The sequence below is a fragment of the Homo sapiens genome, chromosome 19 (assembly GCF_000001405.40).
Source record: "Homo sapiens chromosome 19, GRCh38.p14 Primary Assembly".
NCBI lineage: Eukaryota > Metazoa > Chordata > Mammalia > Primates > Hominidae > Homo > Homo sapiens.
The window spans coordinates 7,844,349-7,863,088 of NC_000019.10; the positions used below are offsets into that span (position 1 = coordinate 7,844,349).

General features: G+C 61.3%; 1 protein-coding gene across 2 annotated transcripts in view, besides 6 other annotated features; it reads left to right on the plus strand.

Annotated features, from left to right (window-relative positions):
• Nucleotides 1-18,740, plus strand: part of EVI5L (ecotropic viral integration site 5 like) — a 34,759-nt gene that overhangs the window by 14,131 nt on the left and 1,888 nt on the right. Inside the window, exons 2-18 of one of the 2 annotated variants that reach the window (NM_001159944.3) lie at nt 2,148-2,331; nt 3,384-3,573; nt 4,573-4,797; nt 4,908-4,982; nt 5,649-5,774; nt 7,086-7,229; nt 7,333-7,422; nt 8,738-8,835; nt 8,925-8,985; nt 11,667-11,720; nt 12,744-12,776; nt 13,843-13,983; nt 16,213-16,341; nt 17,530-17,670; nt 17,774-17,929; nt 18,040-18,186; nt 18,624-18,719. In NM_001159944.3, coding sequence (NP_001153416.1) covers nt 2,195-2,331; nt 3,384-3,573; nt 4,573-4,797; nt 4,908-4,982; nt 5,649-5,774; nt 7,086-7,229; nt 7,333-7,422; nt 8,738-8,835; nt 8,925-8,985; nt 11,667-11,720; nt 12,744-12,776; nt 13,843-13,983; nt 16,213-16,341; nt 17,530-17,670; nt 17,774-17,929; nt 18,040-18,186; nt 18,624-18,719 — 2,043 coding nt within the window. In that variant the 5' untranslated portion in view covers nt 2,148-2,194. The remainder of the gene's footprint in view (nt 1-2,147; nt 2,332-3,383; nt 3,574-4,572; nt 4,798-4,907; nt 4,983-5,648; nt 5,775-7,085; nt 7,230-7,332; nt 7,423-8,737; nt 8,836-8,924; nt 8,986-11,666; nt 11,721-12,743; nt 12,777-13,842; nt 13,984-16,212; nt 16,342-17,529; nt 17,671-17,773; nt 17,930-18,039; nt 18,187-18,623; nt 18,720-18,740) is intronic. The other variant, NM_145245.5, reaches the window with a different exon arrangement.
• Nucleotides 3,121-3,622: an enhancer, noted in NCBI's record as "H3K27ac-H3K4me1 hESC enhancer chr19:7912355-7912856 (GRCh37/hg19 assembly coordinates)". NCBI's record gives its function as "activates a minimal SCP1, AML or CMV promoter by ChIP-STARR-seq in primed H9 embryonic stem cells {active_cell/tissue: H9 hESC(primed)}" and the evidence as "EXISTENCE:reporter gene assay evidence [ECO:0000049][PMID:30033119]".
• Nucleotides 12,969-13,754: an enhancer, noted in NCBI's record as "H3K4me1 hESC enhancer chr19:7922203-7922988 (GRCh37/hg19 assembly coordinates)". NCBI's record gives its function as "activates a minimal SCP1, AML or CMV promoter by ChIP-STARR-seq in naive H9 embryonic stem cells {active_cell/tissue: H9 hESC(naive)}" and the evidence as "EXISTENCE:reporter gene assay evidence [ECO:0000049][PMID:30033119]".
• Nucleotides 17,037-17,676: an enhancer, noted in NCBI's record as "H3K4me1 hESC enhancer chr19:7926271-7926910 (GRCh37/hg19 assembly coordinates)". NCBI's record gives its function as "activates a minimal SCP1, AML or CMV promoter by ChIP-STARR-seq in naive H9 embryonic stem cells {active_cell/tissue: H9 hESC(naive)}" and the evidence as "EXISTENCE:reporter gene assay evidence [ECO:0000049][PMID:30033119]".
• Nucleotides 17,677-18,314: an enhancer, noted in NCBI's record as "H3K4me1 hESC enhancer chr19:7926911-7927548 (GRCh37/hg19 assembly coordinates)". NCBI's record gives its function as "activates a minimal SCP1, AML or CMV promoter by ChIP-STARR-seq in naive H9 embryonic stem cells {active_cell/tissue: H9 hESC(naive)}" and the evidence as "EXISTENCE:reporter gene assay evidence [ECO:0000049][PMID:30033119]".
• Nucleotides 17,677-18,406: a biological region, named in NCBI's record as "H3K4me1 hESC enhancer GRCh37_chr19:7926911-7927548".
• Nucleotides 18,137-18,406: a silencer, noted in NCBI's record as "silent region_9992". NCBI's record gives its function as "represses an Ori minimal core promoter by ATAC-STARR-seq in GM12878 lymphoblastoid cells {active_cell/tissue: GM12878}" and the evidence as "EXISTENCE:reporter gene assay evidence [ECO:0000049][PMID:35858748]".

Below are 18,740 nucleotides of genomic sequence, written 5' to 3' on the forward strand. Positions count from 1 at the left end.
AAGAAAGAAAGAAAAGAAACCGAGGCTCGGGCAGAGATTGGGTGGGGCTGATGCCCTGAGCTTGGGTTTCTTTGGTTCTGAAGCTCTCACTGCTCCCCAACTCCATCTGTGGTTCTGAGGCTCCAGCCTCACCTCCACCACCTCCTCCCCATTCTCCCAGCTCTGAAGCTACCCTCCCAGCCCCTCCCTGCCCAGAGAGGTCCTTCTGATCAGCACTTCTTGTCCACAGCCCCCGTCTCTGTCCGGGCAGACTTTGACTCTGTGGGAGGCCCCAAAGTGGCCCCCACTGTCCCTGCCTCGGGAATGATTAACTCCTGATTAGGTGGTGCCCAGCAGCTTGGTCTTTAGGGCAGGTGGCCCTGGCCCACTTGGCAATGAGAGTTCCTTCCACTCCCCAAAATCCAAAACCCTCAGCACCCGGCAGACTAGGGGAACGCTTGAGGGCCCAAGGTAGAACCAGTAGCCTTGGGGAGCCACAGAGGCCTGGAGAAAGAGGGTTCTGGGTCCCCATACAGTGAAAAAAGAATGGCGCACCTCCCCCAACCCTATTCCAGGAGGACTGGGGTGGCCAGGGTCAAGTCCATCCAACCTGTAGGCCCTCAGGGGTTGGTTGGGGGCTGAGTTTGGGCTGTGGGAAGGTGCCCAGTGACCCAACGGTAGTCAGGCAGGTATAGAGTGGTCTGCTATGGTCCCGCCAATGTCCCCCTGCTGCCTGGGGATCCAGATATCCCCACTCCAAGGACCCAGCGAGGCCCTCTCTGTAGGTGGAGCTGTCAGCCAGGTCAGGTGGGGTCAAGTGGCACACGGCAGACTCCTGCTACAGAGCGTGCCGGGCAGTGGGCGGGCATGAGGAGCCGTGCAAATAAGGAGGCAGGAGGCAGGGTTTCCTTCCTGCCATCAGGACCCTAGGTATCCCCATCTTCTCAGACGCTGGAGGTGAGCCTGGGCTCACCAGGAAGAAGCATGAAGGAACACCATCCCCAGCCGCTGCCTCCACTCCCATAGCCGTCCCTTTCCTCTAGGGCCCCCTGCTAGGGGTCCCCTGGCCATCAGTCCCCACACAGGCCACAGCAGAACCCAGGAGCCCTGGCTCCAGGATGGACAGTGATAGCCGATGTCCGTGGGGCCATCACTGAGTGTCAGGCTCTGTTCTGACCAGGTTATGTGCAGTCATGTGCTCAGTTTCCACAGCCACCCTTGAGGCTAGGTCCTGTATGATCTCAGTGTACGGAGGCTCAGAGACACCAAGTGACTGGCCCAAGGTCACACAGCTGGTTGAGGGGAGCCATGCTTCAGACGCAGATCCATTTGAGCCCAGTACCTTTGTTTTTGACATGGCATTGATCTGCCTCCACCAGGGTGGCAGAAGGCGAGAGGCCAGTGTCCTTGAAGCCCCCAGAAGGGTCGGGCCAGATGACACGGCAAAAAGATAGGAGAGATGTGCCTGGGACTCACCTGGCACGTGGCAGGCCAAGATCTGGATACGGATCGGAGCCCACAGCTCTGGCTCTGTGTCTGCCAGGGCACAGATTCCCAGCACTCTGCCACGTCCCTGGCTTCTCAACCCAAGGGGAGTCGACTCTTCTGGCCATTGGCAGCGCCAGACAATTAACAGTCGAAAGTAATTGCTCTTGGCCGTGCCAGCAGCCCACTTTGGTTGATGAGATGGGGAAGTCAGACACTGATATGGGGCTCCCAGGGCAGGCCGTGGCGGGGACGGGGACAAAGCTATTAGGAAGGGCCAGAAAAGCAGGGGGCTCCTGCACCCCGAGGTCCCAGCAGGGTCCATGGAGCCCCGAGTGACAGGGAGCCTCTGCTCCGGGCCCTGCTCCAGCCTCAGGGGTGTCGAGTTGAGCCTTGGCCTTCATGCCCAGGGACAGCAGGACGGCTCACATCCTGGCAACAGTCCTCCCATCTCCATCCAGACATCCGGCCTGATGACACAGGCAGGGATCCCAATCGCCAGGGTCTCGAACAGAAGGGGCAGCATGGCTGTCAGCTGGGCTGGGGCGCATGGGGATGAGGGGTGCACGGACGGGGGTGGACCAGAGGCAGGAAGCCCAGGGTGAGGAAATGTCCCGAGGGTGGGCAGGCAGGATGGAGTGGGCTCCCACCCAATGCCGACCACGCATGTCTCTGGCCCCCAGACAGAGCTGTGAACCAACCCCGCTCACGGCTAACAAGCCCACCCACCATGGCGAGCCCCACTCTGAGCCCCGACTCCTCATCCCAGGAGGCCCTGTCGGCCCCCACCTGCTCCCCAACCTCTGACTCCGAGAACCTCAGCCCCGATGAGCTGGAGCTGCTGGCCAAGCTCGAAGAGCAGAACCGGTGAGTTGGGGGCTGGGGGATGGGGTGAAATCTTGGGGTGCAGTCTGGGCCCCCACAGGAGTTCCCAGGTGCCCTCACATTCAGAGCCAGGCCCAGTGTGTGCAATGTGACAGCCACCTCCAGATGCTGGATGAGGGACAGACACCTCCTTTCATCCTCCCAACCCTGGCTGAATATATGTGTCCCCACCCTGTTCAGATGAGACTGAAGGTTTGAGAGGTCAAGTGAATCTGTGAATCCGCCGCGGTTAATGGAGCCAGGACTGGAGGAAGAGTCGATTCGGGCCTTCCTGCTTTCTTCCTCTGACCCTACCCCCATTTAAAATGCAGGTTTTAGGCTGGACGTGGTGGCTCACACCACCGAACACTTTGGGAGGCCGAGGCAGACGGATCACTTGAGGTCAGGTGTTTGAGACCAGCCTGGCCAACATGGTGAAATCCTGTCTCTACTAAAAACACAAAAATTAGCTGGGCATGGTGGTGGGTGCCTGTAATCTCAGCTACTTGGGAGCCTGAGGCAGGAGAATCACTTGAACCCGGGAGGCGGACGCTGCAGTGAGCCAAGATCACGCCACTGCACTCCAGTCTGGGCAACAAGAGCAAAACTCCGTCTCAAAAAAAAGGGGGCGCTGAGGGCAGTGGCTCAAGCCTGTAATCCCAGCAGTTTAGGAGGCTGAGGCAGGTGGATCACCTGAGGTCAGGAGTTCGAGACCAGCCCGACCAACATGGTGAAACCCCATATTTACTACAAATATAAAGTTAGCCAGGTGTGGTGGCATGCACCTGTAATCCCAGCTACTCAGGAGGCTGAAGCAGGAGAATTGCTTGAACCAGGAGGCAGAGGTTGCAGTGAGCTGAGATCACACCACTGCACTCCAGCCTGGGCGACAGAGCAAGACTCCATCTCAAAGAAGAAGAAAAAAAAAAGAACAAGAGGGACCTAATCCCTGGTGTCCTCTAAGACCCCCAGGAGGGGGAGGATGGGCTGGGCTCGCCAAGGATCCCTGTCCCCAGGGAGTCACTGGTTCCCCTCTGTCGGCCCTTCCTGCCCAGGCTCCTGGAGGCCGACTCCAAGTCCATGCGCTCCATGAATGGCTCGCGGCGGAACAGTGGCTCCTCGCTAGTGTCCAGCTCCTCGGCCTCCTCCAACCTGAGCCACCTGGAGGAGGACACGTGGATCCTGTGGGGCCGGATCGCCAACGAGTGGGAGGAGTGGCGGCGCAGGAAGGAGAAGCTGCTCAAGGTGGGGGGCGGCCAGGCAGGCAGGGCTGGGCCGACGGCGTGGGCAGGTGGTGCGGTCACTCAGCCACCAGGCAGCGCCAGGGTCTGCGGGGCCCCAGCCTGGGCACAGCGGCAGCAGTGGAGATGTGCAGGCACTTTCAGGGTGTCCTGCCAGAGCACAGGGACAGGAGAGAGTGAGTCAGGGTGGTGCTGGACAGGCCCTGCACCCTCGAGTGCCCATGTGCTTGCTGCCCTGTAGTGCCCATGAAGGATGGGGGTGTGGTGGCTCACGCCTGGAATCTCAGCACTTTGGGCGGCCAAGGTGGGAGGATCGCTTGAGGCCAGGAGTTCGAGGCCAGCCTGGGCAACGTAATGAGACTCCGACTCTATAAAAAGTTTAAAAATTAGCCAGGTAGGCCGGGCGCAGTGGCTCACGCCTGTAATCCCAGTTCGTTGGAAGGTCGAGGCAGGCAGATCACCTAAGGTCAGGAGTTCAAGACCAGCCTGGCCAACATGGCGAAACTCCGACTCTACTAAAAATACAAAAATTAGCTGGGCGTGGTGGCGTGCACCTGTAATCCCAGCTACTTGGGAGGCTGAGGCAGGAGAATCACTTGAACCTGGGAGGCAAGAGGTAGCAGTGAGCCAAGATCACGCCACTGCACTCCGGCGTGGGCAACAGAGTGAGACTCCATCTCAAAAAAAAAAAAAGTTTAAAAATTAGCCAGGCGTGGTGGTGCACAACTGTAGTCCCAGCTACTCAGGAAGCTGAGGCAGGAGGATCGCTTGAGCCCAGGAGTTCAAGGCTGCAGGGAGCTATGATCGCACCACTGCACTCCAGCCTGGGTGACAGAGGGAGACCCTGTCTCTGAAAAAAGGGGGTAAAAAAAGGATTGGGGACCATGAGTTCTGTGCCATGCTTGAGGCCTGGATGAGCCACGCCTGAGGAGCTGGGCTGGGTGGCCACGGGGAGGCTGCGCTGGGACCGAGTCCAGCCCCCGCTTCCCGCTCCCGTGGCCAGGAGCTGATCCGCAAGGGCATCCCCCACCACTTCCGGGCCATCGTGTGGCAGCTTCTGTGCAGCGCCACGGACATGCCCGTCAAGAACCAGTACTCCGAGCTGCTCAAGATGTCCTCGCCGTGCGAGAAGCTGATCCGCAGGGACATCGCCCGCACCTACCCGGAACATGAGTTCTTCAAGGGCCAGGACAGCCTGGGCCAGGAGGTCCTCTTCAACGTCATGAAGGTGAGGCCCAGGGCTCCCCGCTCCCTCGGTCCCAAAGGAAGGAGAAGTTCCCCAGTTCACCGGCTGTGCTGGACGGCGGGACCCTGCTCTCAGGACTTGTTCCCTTCTAGGCATACTCGCTGGTAGACCGGGAGGTGGGCTACTGCCAGGGAAGCGCCTTCATCGTGGGCCTGCTCCTCATGCAGGTAGGTGGCTGGGGGGTGGCTGGGCTCCTGCCAGACAACAGCCCACCCTGGGCTCGGCCCCCAAGAGATGGACAGAAGTGGCGTGTCCTCCACCCAGCGTCTTGCTAGGGGTAGATCCTCCTTCTCCATCCACACCCGTGACCTCTGCCAATCGCCAGGCCAAGGCCCAGTGAGTGGCACCTGTCTGGTTGGGTCCTGTCTGCTGTACCATCCAGGACAGAGACCGGGTTTGGAGGGATAGGCTGTCTCTCTCTGCCACATCTCAGGGTTGGACAGGAACCTCAGGCTGGGGACTTAAGCCATCCAGCGTGGTGTTTATGGGGCTTGGGGGTCTCCTCCAGAGAAATCGGGAGGCTGACAGGGAGAGAGGACGCAGCTGGGACAGGAGGTATCCTAACCAGGGGGATGCTGGCAGTGGCCAGCCCTGGGTTCAGGTCCAGCTCCCCTGTTTCCTGCCGAGTGGCCCTTGGCAGGTGACCTCAGCCTCAGGTCTTCCATCAGTAAAACAGCTTGTGAGGACACAGGGACCAACAGTGTGTCATGAGAGTCTAGGGAGCCAGGTACCGACATGGACATGGGCCCCTGTACCCCAGGGCCCTGATGAGCAGCGAGATGCCCCTCCCCGCTGCGCTGCCCTGAGCCCCCCCACCTGCCCGTCCCCCCTAGATGCCTGAGGAGGAGGCCTTCTGTGTGTTCGTGCGGCTGATGCAGGAGTACCGGCTGCGGGAGCTCTTCAAACCCAGCATGGCCGAGCTCGGGCTCTGCATCTATCAGTTCGAGTACATGCTGCAGGTGAGCAGGGCCGCAGGAGAGCAGGGCTGCAGGAGGGCAGGGCCACAGGTGGGCAGGGCCGCAAGGGAGCAGGATCGCAGAAGGGCAGGGCTGGCACCCTAGACCATACCCGGGCACCTCTTGGACTGAAAATTCCAAGCCTGTGAAATCACACCTGGACGTTCCAACTCCAAAAGGCACTCCTCTTTCCATGCAGCACTGCCCTGAAGGATGCTTGGAGGAACAGGAGAGCCACCACTGAAGGGGGGCTCCCAGGGCTGCTGAGGCAGAGGGGTGGGGCAGGCTCACATCGGACACAGCCACAGCCACCTCCCTGTCTGCTCCAGAGTGTGGTGGAAGGAGGGAGTGTTGTCTGCCTGCCTGATTACTGGAGAGCCGCAGACGTCTGTTTATAAATAGCAGCCCCCGCAGGGCCTGCTCCCGGCTGGCAGGCAGAGCCGCCAAGGCCGTTTGCGAACATACACACACCCGCATGCATACACACACACGCAGACACACACACACACACCGGCCCGCCTCAGCTGCCATGGCAGGTGGGGCTGTGCAGTCATCCCTGGATGTGACAGCCCCACTCCCTGGGCCTGGATCATGGACGGTGCTGTAGCCTTAGGGGGCCTGGTAGTGCCACAAGCAGGAGGCCTGGGCTGCAGAGAAGGCACCACCCCACCTCAGGCTGGGTAGCAGAGCCCTCCCACAGCCAAGCTTGCAAACTCAGGGCGCAGAGAGCCCCTGGCGCTGGGAGGAAGCCCGGGATCCTAACGCCTTCTCCGGCCTCAGTTTCCCCAGCCGTCTGCCACTTTCTGGCTGTCTAGAGTTCAGGCCAATCCAACACAGCTTGCACAAAGCTTTATGCTGGGGTCCAAGGGAGGTACAGTGGCTGGCAGGTCACGTAACAAGGTGGGGGGGGGGCTCCCCCCAGGGCCAGAGGCTGCCACTTGCCCATGCTCCACCTCTGGGTCTCAGGGTGTCTGTGGGGAGTGACCCAACTCCCCCAGCCTCAGACACACCCTCTCAGGCTGTCGTGAGGACCCCATGAGCTGCCACGGGCGCATCACCTACCCAGGGTGGGCCCCCAACACAGGCGGCTACAGATCTTGCCATCCCTGCCTGTCCCCCACCCCGTGCTACTCAAAGCTCGGGGGTGCTTCGGCCTCCCTCAGACAGAGTGCTGAGGGAGCACCAGGAAGGGAGCCTCAGGCTGCCCAGCGCAGGTCCAGGAAGGCTCCCTGGAGGCGGGGACACTGAGGCCCAGCACCCCCCGGTGGGAGGGCGTCCCCCTCACTGTGCCCACCCGGCCTCCCACCCCTGCAGGAGCAGCTCCCAGACCTCAACACCCACTTCCGTTCCCAAAGCTTCCACACATCCATGTATGCCTCGTCCTGGTTCCTCACACTGTTCCTGACCACCTTCCCACTCCCCGTCGCCACCCGGGTCTTTGACATCTTCATGTATGAGGTGAGGACCGATGGTGCCTGGGGAGGGAAGAGAGCCCCTTGGGGGTGGTTGGAACAGGAGCCTCCCTGCCCTCCACCTCCCACTGCCTTTGCCGCCTTTGCAGGGGCTGGAGATCGTGTTCCGAGTGGGCCTCGCCCTGCTGCAGGTGAACCAGGCAGAGCTGATGCAGCTGGACATGGAGGGGATGTCCCAGGTGGGCCGGGAGGGCCAGGGCCGGTGGGGCTGCCCCCAATCAGGGGCTTCGAGTCACAGGATGCCCTCACAAGTGACAGAGAGGGCCCGGCTTCGAGGGTGGAAGGTGGTGTGCCTGACATCCCTGATCTGTTCCCATCCACTCTGTTCCCCTGAGGTCTCCCTAAGGGACCAGAGGACCCCCTAGGCTCTGCCAGACACAGTCAGGGGCCAGCAGCCTGGCCGCAGGGAGACAGGAGGCCCAGGCTGAGCCCTGGGAGCCCCACTGCCCACCTCCTGCCCCCAACCCCGCAGATGCCCCAAAGCCTGATGGCAGATCATGACTGACTGACCATGAGGGCATCCCCACCCTGCCGCCCAGCCTGGTGAGGGCACAGGAGGGAGTTTGGGGGTCTAGGCAACCTCACGCCTTGCCCCGCCCCAGCCCGGCCTGCCTGGAGGCCCTGCTGCTGGCCAGCCTGCCTCCCACCGCTACTTCTCTGCTGTGCGGGCCCCTGCCCCCTCCCCGCGTCCTCCAGCTGGTGCTTCAGGGAAGAATGCACAAAGGCCACGGTTGTGTCCGTGAACATGGGCAGGCATTGTCCACAGCTACCAGAGGGGGCCAGCTGGGCCGGGTGCAGGAGCTGTGTCCCCCCTGGGCTTACCTTAACCCTTTGCACAGGCCCGAGGCCCCCGGCATACCCATCCTCCTTCCCCCACGAAGGTCCCCTCTGTCAGACCCCCCGACCCTCAGCCTTCACTCCCAGGAGAGCCTCCTTGGCCTGCTTTTCTTTTTTTCTTTTACCTTTTTCTTTTTTTTTTTAAGTCGGAGTTGCTCTGTGGCCCAGGCTGGAGTACAGTGGTGCAGTCCTAGCTCACTGCAGCCTCCACCTCCTGGGCTGAAGCGATCCTCCCGCCTCAGCCTCCTGAGTAGCTGGAACCAGAGGTGTACATCACCATGTCCAGCTAATTTTTTTTTTTCAGAAATGGGGTCTCACTATGTTGCCCACACTGGTCTCAAACTCCTGGGCTCAAGCTATTTATTTCTCCCACCTCAGGCTTTTAAATCATTGGGATTATATGAATGAGCCACCACATCCAGCATCTGCCAGCTTTTCTTCTGGAAACTAAGGCTTTGGCTGCAGGCAGTCCCCCATTCCCTCCCCTCACGCTCAGTCTTTCCATTGCTCCACAAACACTGAGGACACGGCGTTGAGGACATGGCGACACCCCGGGCAGACCCGTTCCTGCCCCCCTCCAGGGCAACAGGGCTCGGGCGGCCCCCGGTGGTCAGGGCCTGCATGTTGGTGACCAGGTGACCGGCTGTGTCCCCACAGTACTTCCAGAGAGTGATCCCCCACCAGTTCGACAGCTGCCCGGACAAGCTGGTCCTCAAAGCCTACCAGGTCAAGTACAACCCCAAGAAGATGAAGAGGTCGGTGCCTGCTGGGCAACCAGGGTACTGGTAAGAAGGGGGGACCCCCGAGGGCATGACAGTAACCACGGGGCCCTCCCGATCTGCAGGCTGGAGAAGGAGTACGCAGCCATGAAGAGCAAGGAGATGGAGGAGCAGATCGAGATCAAAGTGAGTCCAGGGGCCCAGGGGCGGGGACAGGGATGGGAGGCCTTTGGGGGCTGCCCTCCGTACTCTAAAGATCGGCCGCTAGGGGGCGGGCCTTCCCAGCGCACAGGCGGACCCGGCGGTCCTTGGCGGACAGGCCTCCGCCCACCTGCGCCGTCCTTCACCTGTTAGGCCAGCTGTGAGCGCCTCCCCCGCCTGACGCCGCGGTAACCAAGACAGTCAAGGTCCCTGCCCCGCTGGGCCGCCCAGCGTCATGGGGAAGCAATCAATAAACCACTGAACTAGAGTGCGGACTCTAAATGCTCTGGACAAGGATGTGCACGCGGTGGGCAAGGCTGACTTGGGCAGAGGCTCCGGGCCCAGGGTGTCGAGGGCTAAAGGCCCAGGGCAGCAGCGTGCCTTGGGGGCTGGAGGAATTCCAAGAAGGTTGCAGTGGAGGACCCCGCAAGGGGACCGCCCTCTGGGGAAAGATGGAGCACGCAGGGCCCAGACACCAGGGTGTGTAGGGCAGGGTGTGGGCACTCACCCGGGGCCCCTGGTTCCTGGGGCAACTGGCCCACCAGCCCTGCCAGGTCAGGGGGTTTCCTGAGTGTGCAAAGCTTCTCTCTCCTTCCTTGCGCATTCTTCCCTTTACACGTGATTTTAGTTATTTACTCAACAAGCATTTATTGCCGGGCGCGATGGCTCATGCATGTAATCCCAGCACTTTGGGAGGCGGAGGCAGGTGGATCACTTGAGGTCAGGAGTTCGAGACCAGCCTGGCTAATGCAGTGAAACCCCGTCTCTATTAAAAATACAAAAATTAGCTGGGTGTGGTAGCACACACCTGTAATCCTGGCTACTCGGGAGGCTGAGGCAGGAAAATCACTTGAACCCGGGAGGCGGAGGTTACAGTGAGGCAAGATTGTACCGTTGCACTCCAGCCTGGGCGACAGAGTGAGACTGTGTCTCAAAAAAAAAAAAAAAAGAAAAGAAAAGAAAAAAAACATTTATTGAGCACCTGCTGTGTGCCAAAGTCACAGCTGAGACTGAGGGCGCACCAGTGATAGGAAGGGACACAGACACAAACCCAACACAGCCTGGCTCCATGCTCTTCAGGGGCAGAGCCGCACAGTGGCTAACACTGGAGTCCAACAGACAAGGATTCAATTCCAGCTCCAGCGGCACAGTGGCTCACACCTGTAATCCCAACACTTTGAGAGGCTGAGGTGGGAGGGTGGCTTGAGGCCAGGAGTTGGAGACCAGTCTGGGCAACATAGCAATACCCCGTCTTTACAAAAATATAGAAATAAATACAAAAGGTGTGCCCAGCTCCTGCAAGGATGGCTGTGCTTGGTGCTGTGATGGGTTGAAGCCAGAGAGATGATAGGGAAACCCAGGGGCCAGGGATCAGGGCTCCAGATTGCTATGAGGACCAGAGACCTGAAATAGCTCTGACCCAGCTGAACTGAGGGACTAGGGCAATGCCCTGCCCCACTCTGACTCAGTTTCCCCACATGACATGCATCAATGACTGTCAAGTCTGCGGTTCTGTCTGACTGCATTTGCTTCCTGGGAATGTTCTAGGTGTTTCCATCACCTTTTCTCCCCAGAAGAAACCCAGGAAATATTCTGTGTGACCTGCAGTGTGGCAGGGCCCTCACTCACCTGCCAATCCAAACAATTTCTGTACCACCTTAGTATCAAGCAAGGGGGCACAGGTACAGTCGAGATTCAACTCGTTTGCAAACCTCACCTGCTCCCCAGAGTGTCCTGGGGGAACCTAAAGTGCAAATATCTTTTTCTTTTTTTTTTTTTTTTTTTGGAGATGGAGTCTTGCTCTGTCACCCAGGCTGCAGTGCAGTGAGGTGATCTCGGCTTACTGCAACCCCTGCTCCCGGGTTCAAGTGATTCTCCTGCCTCAGCCTCCCCTGTAGCTGGGATTACAGGCATGCACCACCACGCCTGGCTAATCTTTGTGTTTTTAGTAGAGGCTGGTCTCGAACTCCTGACCTCAGGTGATTTGCCTGCCTCGGCCTCCCAAAGTGCTGGGATTACAGGCGTGAGCCACTACACCTGGCCTAAAACCGCAAATATCTAGCCAAAATCCATCAGCACAGAATGGAAGGCAGGAGCAAGGGAGACGTCTTCGAAACCCCAGCCAGGGAACAGAGAAAACCACTGGGGACAGGTTGCTCTCAGCAGGTCATGGGAATGTAGTTGTCGAGAAAGGATGCATGATCAGCACGCTGGACCCAGACTCAAAGAGGAGCCTGCCCCCGGAATTGAACCCGGGTGCTTGGGGCAAAGCAGCGAGGGGTGGGTGGTGGCTGCTCGACAGCTGCTTCCCCCACTGATTCCCGCACAACCCTTGGCAGACTGACCCACGTGTGGGAAGGAGTCTTCTGAGGGGGCGTGGGTACTGACTGGCCCCCAAACACACACACAGCCACGAAGGCACTGACGTTATTTTTACTGAACCCAGGTTTGTTTTAAAACTTTATTTTTTTGTAATCAAGCCAGTCTGAACAGGAATTGGCCCTGTTTTCTGAAATCGCTGACCCAGAACGTAAGATGCTGGCTGTGCCCTGCCCGGAAAAGTGGCCTGGCCCTAAGGGGACTGACCCCGGCAGTGGGTAAATGAGGGGTGCATGTAGACAGGCGTGGGGGGCGGGCTATGACGTGATCTCCCCCCACCCCCATAGAGACTTCGGACGGAGAACCGGCTCCTGAAACAGCGGATTGAAACCCTAGAGAAGGTGAGGGGCGTGGCCACTGTGAGGACATGGTCGCCATGGGGTGTGACCCACCATGCGGGGCATGGCCGCTAACCTGGGGTGGACTCCTCCAAGTCTTCTCCTCTCTGGAGGACTAAGCAGCCCTACCTTCCTGCCCCAGGACCCGACCTGAACCCGATTTGGAGTGCCCTGCAACTGGGGGCGACTCGTATGGTGATTAATCCTGGAGTGGGGGCGAGTTACAACCCAGTGGCCTGCAGCCACGGGAATCCATTTGTGTTCTGTGCCCTCCCCGGCTGCACAGACGGGGAGGGGTGAGGAGGAGGGAGAACTGCCACTTTGATGGACGAGCCCCGTAATTGGGCCACAAGCCACCCCACCCTGTAATTTGGAAGTCTTGCCCTCAAAAGAAAGGAAAGGAAACCCAGTGGAGGAGAAGCGTGGCGCCATGGTGGGGAGCCACAGCCCGGACTCTGCTCCCCAACATGCTAAAGATGGGGGTGGAATTGGGGGCTCACTGAGCCCCAGCCCCGGGAGCCCCCAATTCCTGCTCCTCACTCGTCCTCACTTGACCCTCCACTGGCCACAGGAAGTGGGTTGGCAGCCGGATTTGGTTGCCCTCACCCCAAAGCCTTGTTCTGCCTTAAAATTACAACGCACCCCCTCCTCTCCCACTCTCCAGGAGGTCCGCACGAAGCCAAAAGTCCCCCTGCCCCCCACAGTTTTTCCAGCCAGCAGCGGCCCGGCTGACCCTGGAGGGTGGGACAGTGGGTTTCCCAGCCCTGCGGCCTCCCCCACAGCCGCGGGCACCCCCGACCTCCCCGCTCACACCGAACCCCTCTCCAGGACGGAGCTGGCTCTAGCTTTGGTCTTCCTCCGGGTCCTCTCCTGCTGGTTCTCTGGTCTTCCCTCCTCTCTCCCCCGCTTCTAGAGATAGTCCACTGCGTTAGTGACAAGTGGTTCTTGTCTGTCTCCCCTCTCCTGTCCCCGCGCCTTCCGCTCTGCCTCCTCCCCCTGTCGCTGGGAACCCCCTTCGCCGGGTAGGAGAGCGCTGCTCTGGCTGATAGGTTAATCCAGGTACTGTAGCTTTTTATCCCCTCTCCGGATTCCTTCCTGGCCCCTTCCCTGCACCCTGCACATGACAGCCAGTAACCGCCTCTTCCCTGCCATTCTGCGGGCAGGCCTGGCGCCATGCATGGAGCAGCTGGGGACCGCTTCTGGGGGACACAGAGGCTTCCCGGGGGGGCGGGGCATGTGAAGTGGGGAGAAGGGTGTGTGTGGAGGGGCTGTGAGTGCGTTTGGGTGTGAATGTCCACATGCATGTACAGAAAGCTTCCTCCGGGCGACACAGGGTGGGGACCCAGGAGGGCTGGGGAACCTAAAACCATATTCACATAAGGCCCTGGTGTGTGCAGTGCTGCGGTCACACACACACACAACACATGCACACACACACACGCACACACACGCCCGGCCCTCACGCTGCTGCTCTCTGCTCCTACCTGCAATGCCTGCTACCACCTTCTCTAGCTCACCTGCTCCTGCTGCCACCTCATCTTGAATGGCTTTATCTGGAAGCTGCCACCCGCCACCTGGTGGCTTTGAGCCTGGAATGGGGGGCCCAAGTTGGGTAGGGGACAAAGATGAGGTGGGGGAAAAAAGGGGGTCTTAGCTCCAGGCAGGTGGAGGCCCCAGAGCCCAGGACTAGAGAAGATGCCGCTGGGAGAGGTGAATGCCCTGGGGAGCCCAGCCCTCTCCTGCCGGGGCCTCAGCTGTCCCCAGATCCTCACCCTCACCGGCAGAGTCTGGCATGAATAGGCACAGGTGGCCTCGCTGTGCCCCTGGATAAGGATCCCAACTGGGGCAGAGACTGAGAGCCAGAGTGGGGAAGGAGATGGAGCTTTCCAAGCCCAGGGCTAGCTCTGTTCCTCCCGGGCTCCTCCAGGTGTCCTATTCCTGCCTGTCACCCACCCACGTCCCCAGGCCCAGTGGGACGCTCATCCCAGGCTCTGAGTACGGGAGGCCCCCACCTCACTTCCCCCCACCTCCACTCTCTGGGCCTCCCCCTGTGGCGGGAGGCAGGGCCTTGGGTGGGAGCCGAGGGTCACGGCCTCCCCCTGCCCCCTGTCCTCGCTGTTCTCAGGGGCAAGTGACACGGGCGCAGGAGGCGGAGGAGAACTACGTCATCAAGCGGGAGCTGGCGGTGGTGCGGCAGCAGTGCAGCTCGGCGGCCGAGGACCTGCAGAAGGCACAGAGCACCATCCGGCAGCTACAGGAGCAGCAGGTAGGGGCGGGTGTGCGGGGCTGCTGGGCGGGGCCATGACCCGCGCCCCCGCCCCCGCCCAACGGTTTTCTTTCAGGGCTCATAATCTGCCCCGCCTCAGCACCTGGCCCTCCTGTTCCTTTCTGGGGTAAGGGGAACCCAGAGACAAGCGCAGATTCTCCCCCAGCAGCTCCACATTCTGAGACATCCTGATATCCATTTCTTGCCACCTCATAGTGTGTCTGCAGTATCTGACTTCCCAACCCCCAGCCTCAGCACGGAGGCCTCTGAAGACCGGGCTGTCCCTGCAGGGTTTCCTCTGTGTCACAGGCAGCAGACAGGGCTGTGACTCCTTACGGAGGCTCTTGCCTGTCCCCAGGGTCTGAAGGATTGTTAGGTGTCCCTGGGGGGCCAGCCATGGAGAATGGGAGCAGGGCAGTCCGGGACTGTTTGGGGAGCTCTGAGCCAGCAGGGTGGGGCTGAGGGGGCACCTTGAGTGTCTTGAGGGCCATGAACTTTGGGTCCCATGATGGGCAGGCCCATGAGTGGGGCCCCACCCCAAGATTTTCTTCTCCTGAAAGCTTTTAGAACTTAACTGCGACCTGGTGCAGTGGCTCACGCCTTAATCTCAGCACTTTGGGAGGCTGAGGCAGGTGGATCACCTGAGGTTAGGAGTTCGAGACCAGCCTGGCCAACATGATGAAGCCCCATCTCTAATAAAAATACAAAAATAAGCTGGGTATGGTGGTGCGCACCTGTAGTCCCAGCTACTCAGGAGGCTGAGGCAGGAGAATCACTTGAACCCGGGAGGTGGAGGTTGCAGTGAGCCAAGATGGCACCACCGCACTCCAGCCTGGGTGACAGAGCAAGACTCCATCTCAAAAAAAAAAAAAAAAAAAACTTAACTGCAGCTGCACTCAGCAGTTGGCCTTCCTGATCGCAGGGACCCCCAGTGGCTGCAGTCCTAAGCCCTGCAGGCCACAGGGACACATGCCCTGGAGGGGCCGGGAGCGACGCTGTAGGTCCCGCTGCCATCCTGGCCTGACCCAGCAGGGCCTGGCAGTGGGGTGTAGGTTGGAGAAACCATGGAGTGCTTGAGAAAGAAGAGCCATCCAATACAGAGGTGCCCCCTCCGCCCCCAGGCCCAGAGACTGTGGCTCAAGCCTTGGCCCAGGGATTCTAGCGGATCCACTGCTCCTGGGGAGAAGGAGAGCTTCACTGTTTCTCACTTGTCCCCATGAACCACATCCGTATGATGCTGGCGTTGTGGCCCTCAGAGTCTGTGAGCACTCTTGTCCCACCTTGCTCTGAGGCAGCATGGACATTAGGGAAACTGAGGCTGGGCTCATCCCACCCACTGCATGAGGCCGCCTTTCAGGCTCGTTAGAGAGACTCCACCAGCCACCCCTGAGCTCCAACCTTGGGGGGATGCAGAGATCGGGGAGGCCCAAGGCCACCTCCTCAGGCCCAAAGGGAGGCCACTGCAGGCAAGATGAGGTGGCCCAGAGGAGCCACATGGGGCCTGGAGGCCATCTGGGCCGAGGCAGAGCCACCGTCACACGTGGATCTCAGAGACCCACAGGAAGAGGATGGTGGCTGGGAGGGCTGAGGCAGTCCCCCAGAGAACTGTCCTGCCAGGCCACAAGGTCAGTGAGAGGGAGCCCGGCTCCCACCCCAGGGACCAGGTGTCCTTTTTCAGGTCCAGGTGGCAGTGTCCATCACTCCAGGGGCCCCCACTGGGGAACTTCTGAGAAGCCAGGGCATGGAGCAAGAGGGTGATACCCACAAACTCTTTCCTCATCCTTCCCTGATTTGAAATGGAGGGTGGGATGCAGAGGAGAGAGGTGGAAAGACAGGTGCACAGCCCCAGGCCTCTCCCCCACCCCCTGCCTCGCCCACCATGTGGCTGGAACGGTGACCACCCAGCAAGAACCCATCTCCCACCCTCACCAGTGATCCCGGAAAACCAGTCACTGGGGTCCCGCGGGGCATCCGAAGGCCAAGGCAAGTCACCTTTCAGAATGTCCCCTCTGTGCAGCCTTTCCAGGAAGGAAGCTGGACCGGGCCAGCTGCATGGATGCCAGGACCTCTAGGCCCTGAGCATCAGGGGGTCCAGCCCAGGACACCCCAAGCCTGGGCCCCTCTCCCTGCTGAAGGGCTCTGGGGAGGCGGGGAGAAGCCAGCAGGCATGGAGGCTGCCCATCCCCCAGCCATGGCCTGGGGCCCCACGCAGCTCTCTGCCTCCCCCAGGAGAACCCCCGCCTCACAGAAGACTTCGTGTCCCACCTGGAGACCGAGCTGGAGCAGTCGAGGCTGCGGGAGACGGAGACACTGGGGGCCCTTCGGGAGATGCAGGACAAGGTTCTCGACATGGAAAAGGTGCAATGGGGAGGCAGACGGGCAGGTGTCGGGGGGACCCTGGGGCACAGGAGGGGTCCTGGATAAGCTTTGGGAGTGACCCCAGGTCAGAATCCCCCACCCCCATGCACACACAACCATACATATGCACACACACAGCACAACCCCACGCGGGGCATGCCCACGCTCCTGTATGAGGCAAACTCCAGCAGCGTGGCAGCTTCTATGAGCTTCCCGGATACCTGCATCCCACCTGTGTGTGTTTCCCCCAGTACTGGGTTCCAGGAAGGAAGGGAGGAGAGAGGGGGATGGGGGAGGGGGACAGGAAGGAGAGAAAGGAAGGCCCAGGCCCATTGTGGCTGCCTCCCTACACATTCCCATGCAGACACCATCCCAGGGCTTCTGGGTTCCTCCCCAACTGCTCTCTGACTTGGCATCGACTCCACTCTCCCACGGAGCTCCCAGAGGAAGGAAAGCACCCAGGGACCCATTCACACATTCAGCAGGAGCCATTCCCCACCCCCTCGAGCCTGCACTATTTTGGGAGTCCTCCCAAATGGAGGACTGAGAGGCCATCTGCTTCCAGGCCCTCATCACCAGCCAAGAGCTGGGCTCCGCTCCCGCCTCCCTCCACTTCATAGGGAAGTGTGCCTCCAGGACATGCTGCTAGATCTGTCCCAGCCCTAGACCCAAACACGGGTCAGTGCGGACCTCATCCAGAAAGCTGGATTTGGGTCCTGGAGCACAAATCCTCCATCAATGAGCCCTGGGACACCAGGACAGGGCCAAGGCTGGCACTCAGCCTGTTCCCAGGGAGAGGGACTGCCTGGCCTGGTGTGGCCTGGCCTGGGGGCCAGAGGGCAGACAGGGTGTTTCTGCTGGGGCAGGTCCTCCACCTGATCATGTCCCTGAGGGGATGGATCTCAGACCTCGGGGAGTCAGTGTGTGCAGCGCGGCGTTTATGGGGGTTGCCCTAGGACACCCTGTGAGAGTAGGTGCTGTTACTACACCCATTTTATAGCTGAGGAACTCCAACCGGGTTCCACAGGCGAGTCCGCTCCCCGTGGGCCTTGTCAAGGGGGTCGCCCTCCCCCATCTGAGCCGCCCAAGGCAGAGCTCAGGAGGAAACGTGGCTGGGGGCGTTTGTCCTGCAGGAAGGGCCATGCGGCTGCGCTGCTCCCCCAGGCCCTGACCCCACTCTTCCCGCAGAGGAACAGCTCGCTGCCCGACGAGAACAATGTGGCGCAGCTGCAGGAGGAGCTGAAGGCGCTCAAGGTGCGGGAAGGCCAGGCGGTGGCCTCGACGCGAGAGCTTAAACTGCAGCTGCAGGAGCTCTCGGACACCTGGCAGGTGAGGGCCGGGTGGGCGCCGGCGGGCAGAGCGCCCCCTAGGGCCATCCCCTCGGGGTTCTTGGGCGGAGGCTGACCGCCGGCTTCTCGGCTTCACCCCCCAGGCCCATCTGGCCCGCGGCGGCCGCTGGAAGGAGTCCCCACGGAAGCTGGTCGTGGGCGAGCTGCAGGACGAGCTGATGAGCGTGCGTCTGCGCGAGGCCCAGGCCCTGGCCGAGGGCCGCGAGCTGCGGCAGCGCGTGGTGGAACTTGAGACGCAGGTGGACTCGGGGGGCCTGCTCGTTGGGGAAGGGGCGTGGTGTCCGTGGCCAGCCCCTGAGTTAGGCCCTGACCGCCGCCGTCCTCCGTCCTCCCTTCCTCCCTATCCCAGGACCACATCCACCGCAACCTTCTGAACCGCGTGGAGGCGGAGCGCGCGGCGCTGCAGGAGAAGCTGCAGTACCTGGCTGCACAGAACAAGGGGCTGCAGACGCAGCTCAGCGAAAGCCGCCGCAAGCAGGCCGAGGCCGAGTGCAAGGTGCAGACCCCCGCGGCCCCGCCCTGCCCGTGGCACCGCCCCCGGACGCGCCCCTACATGAGGCCCCGCCCCCAATCCGCCTCTGCCGGCGTCCTGCCTCCCGATCTGCCCCTGCCCGCGGTCCTCCCGCCCCCGCCCGCGGCCCCGCCTCCTGACCTGCTCCTGCCCGCGACCCCGCCTCCTGATCCGGCCCCGCCTCCTGACCACCCCCCCCCGCGGTCCCGCCTCCTGATCCGCCCCCGCCCGCGGCCACGCCTCCTGACCCGCCCCCGCCCGCACCTCCCTTGCCCGCGGTCCCGCCCCTGCCCGCGGTCCTGCCTCCTGACCCGCCTCCGCCCGCGGCCCCGCCTCCTCATTCGCCCCTGCCCGCGGTCCCGCCCCCTGATGCGCCGCGCCCCCTGACCCGCCCTCCTTTCCCCCCAATCCCCCGACCCCAGAGCAAGGAGGAGGTGATGGCTGTGCGACTGCGGGAGGCGGACAGCATGGCTGCGGTGGCCGAGATGCGGCAGCGCATTGCCGAGCTGGAGATCCAGGTGATCGGCGGGGCCGGGGTC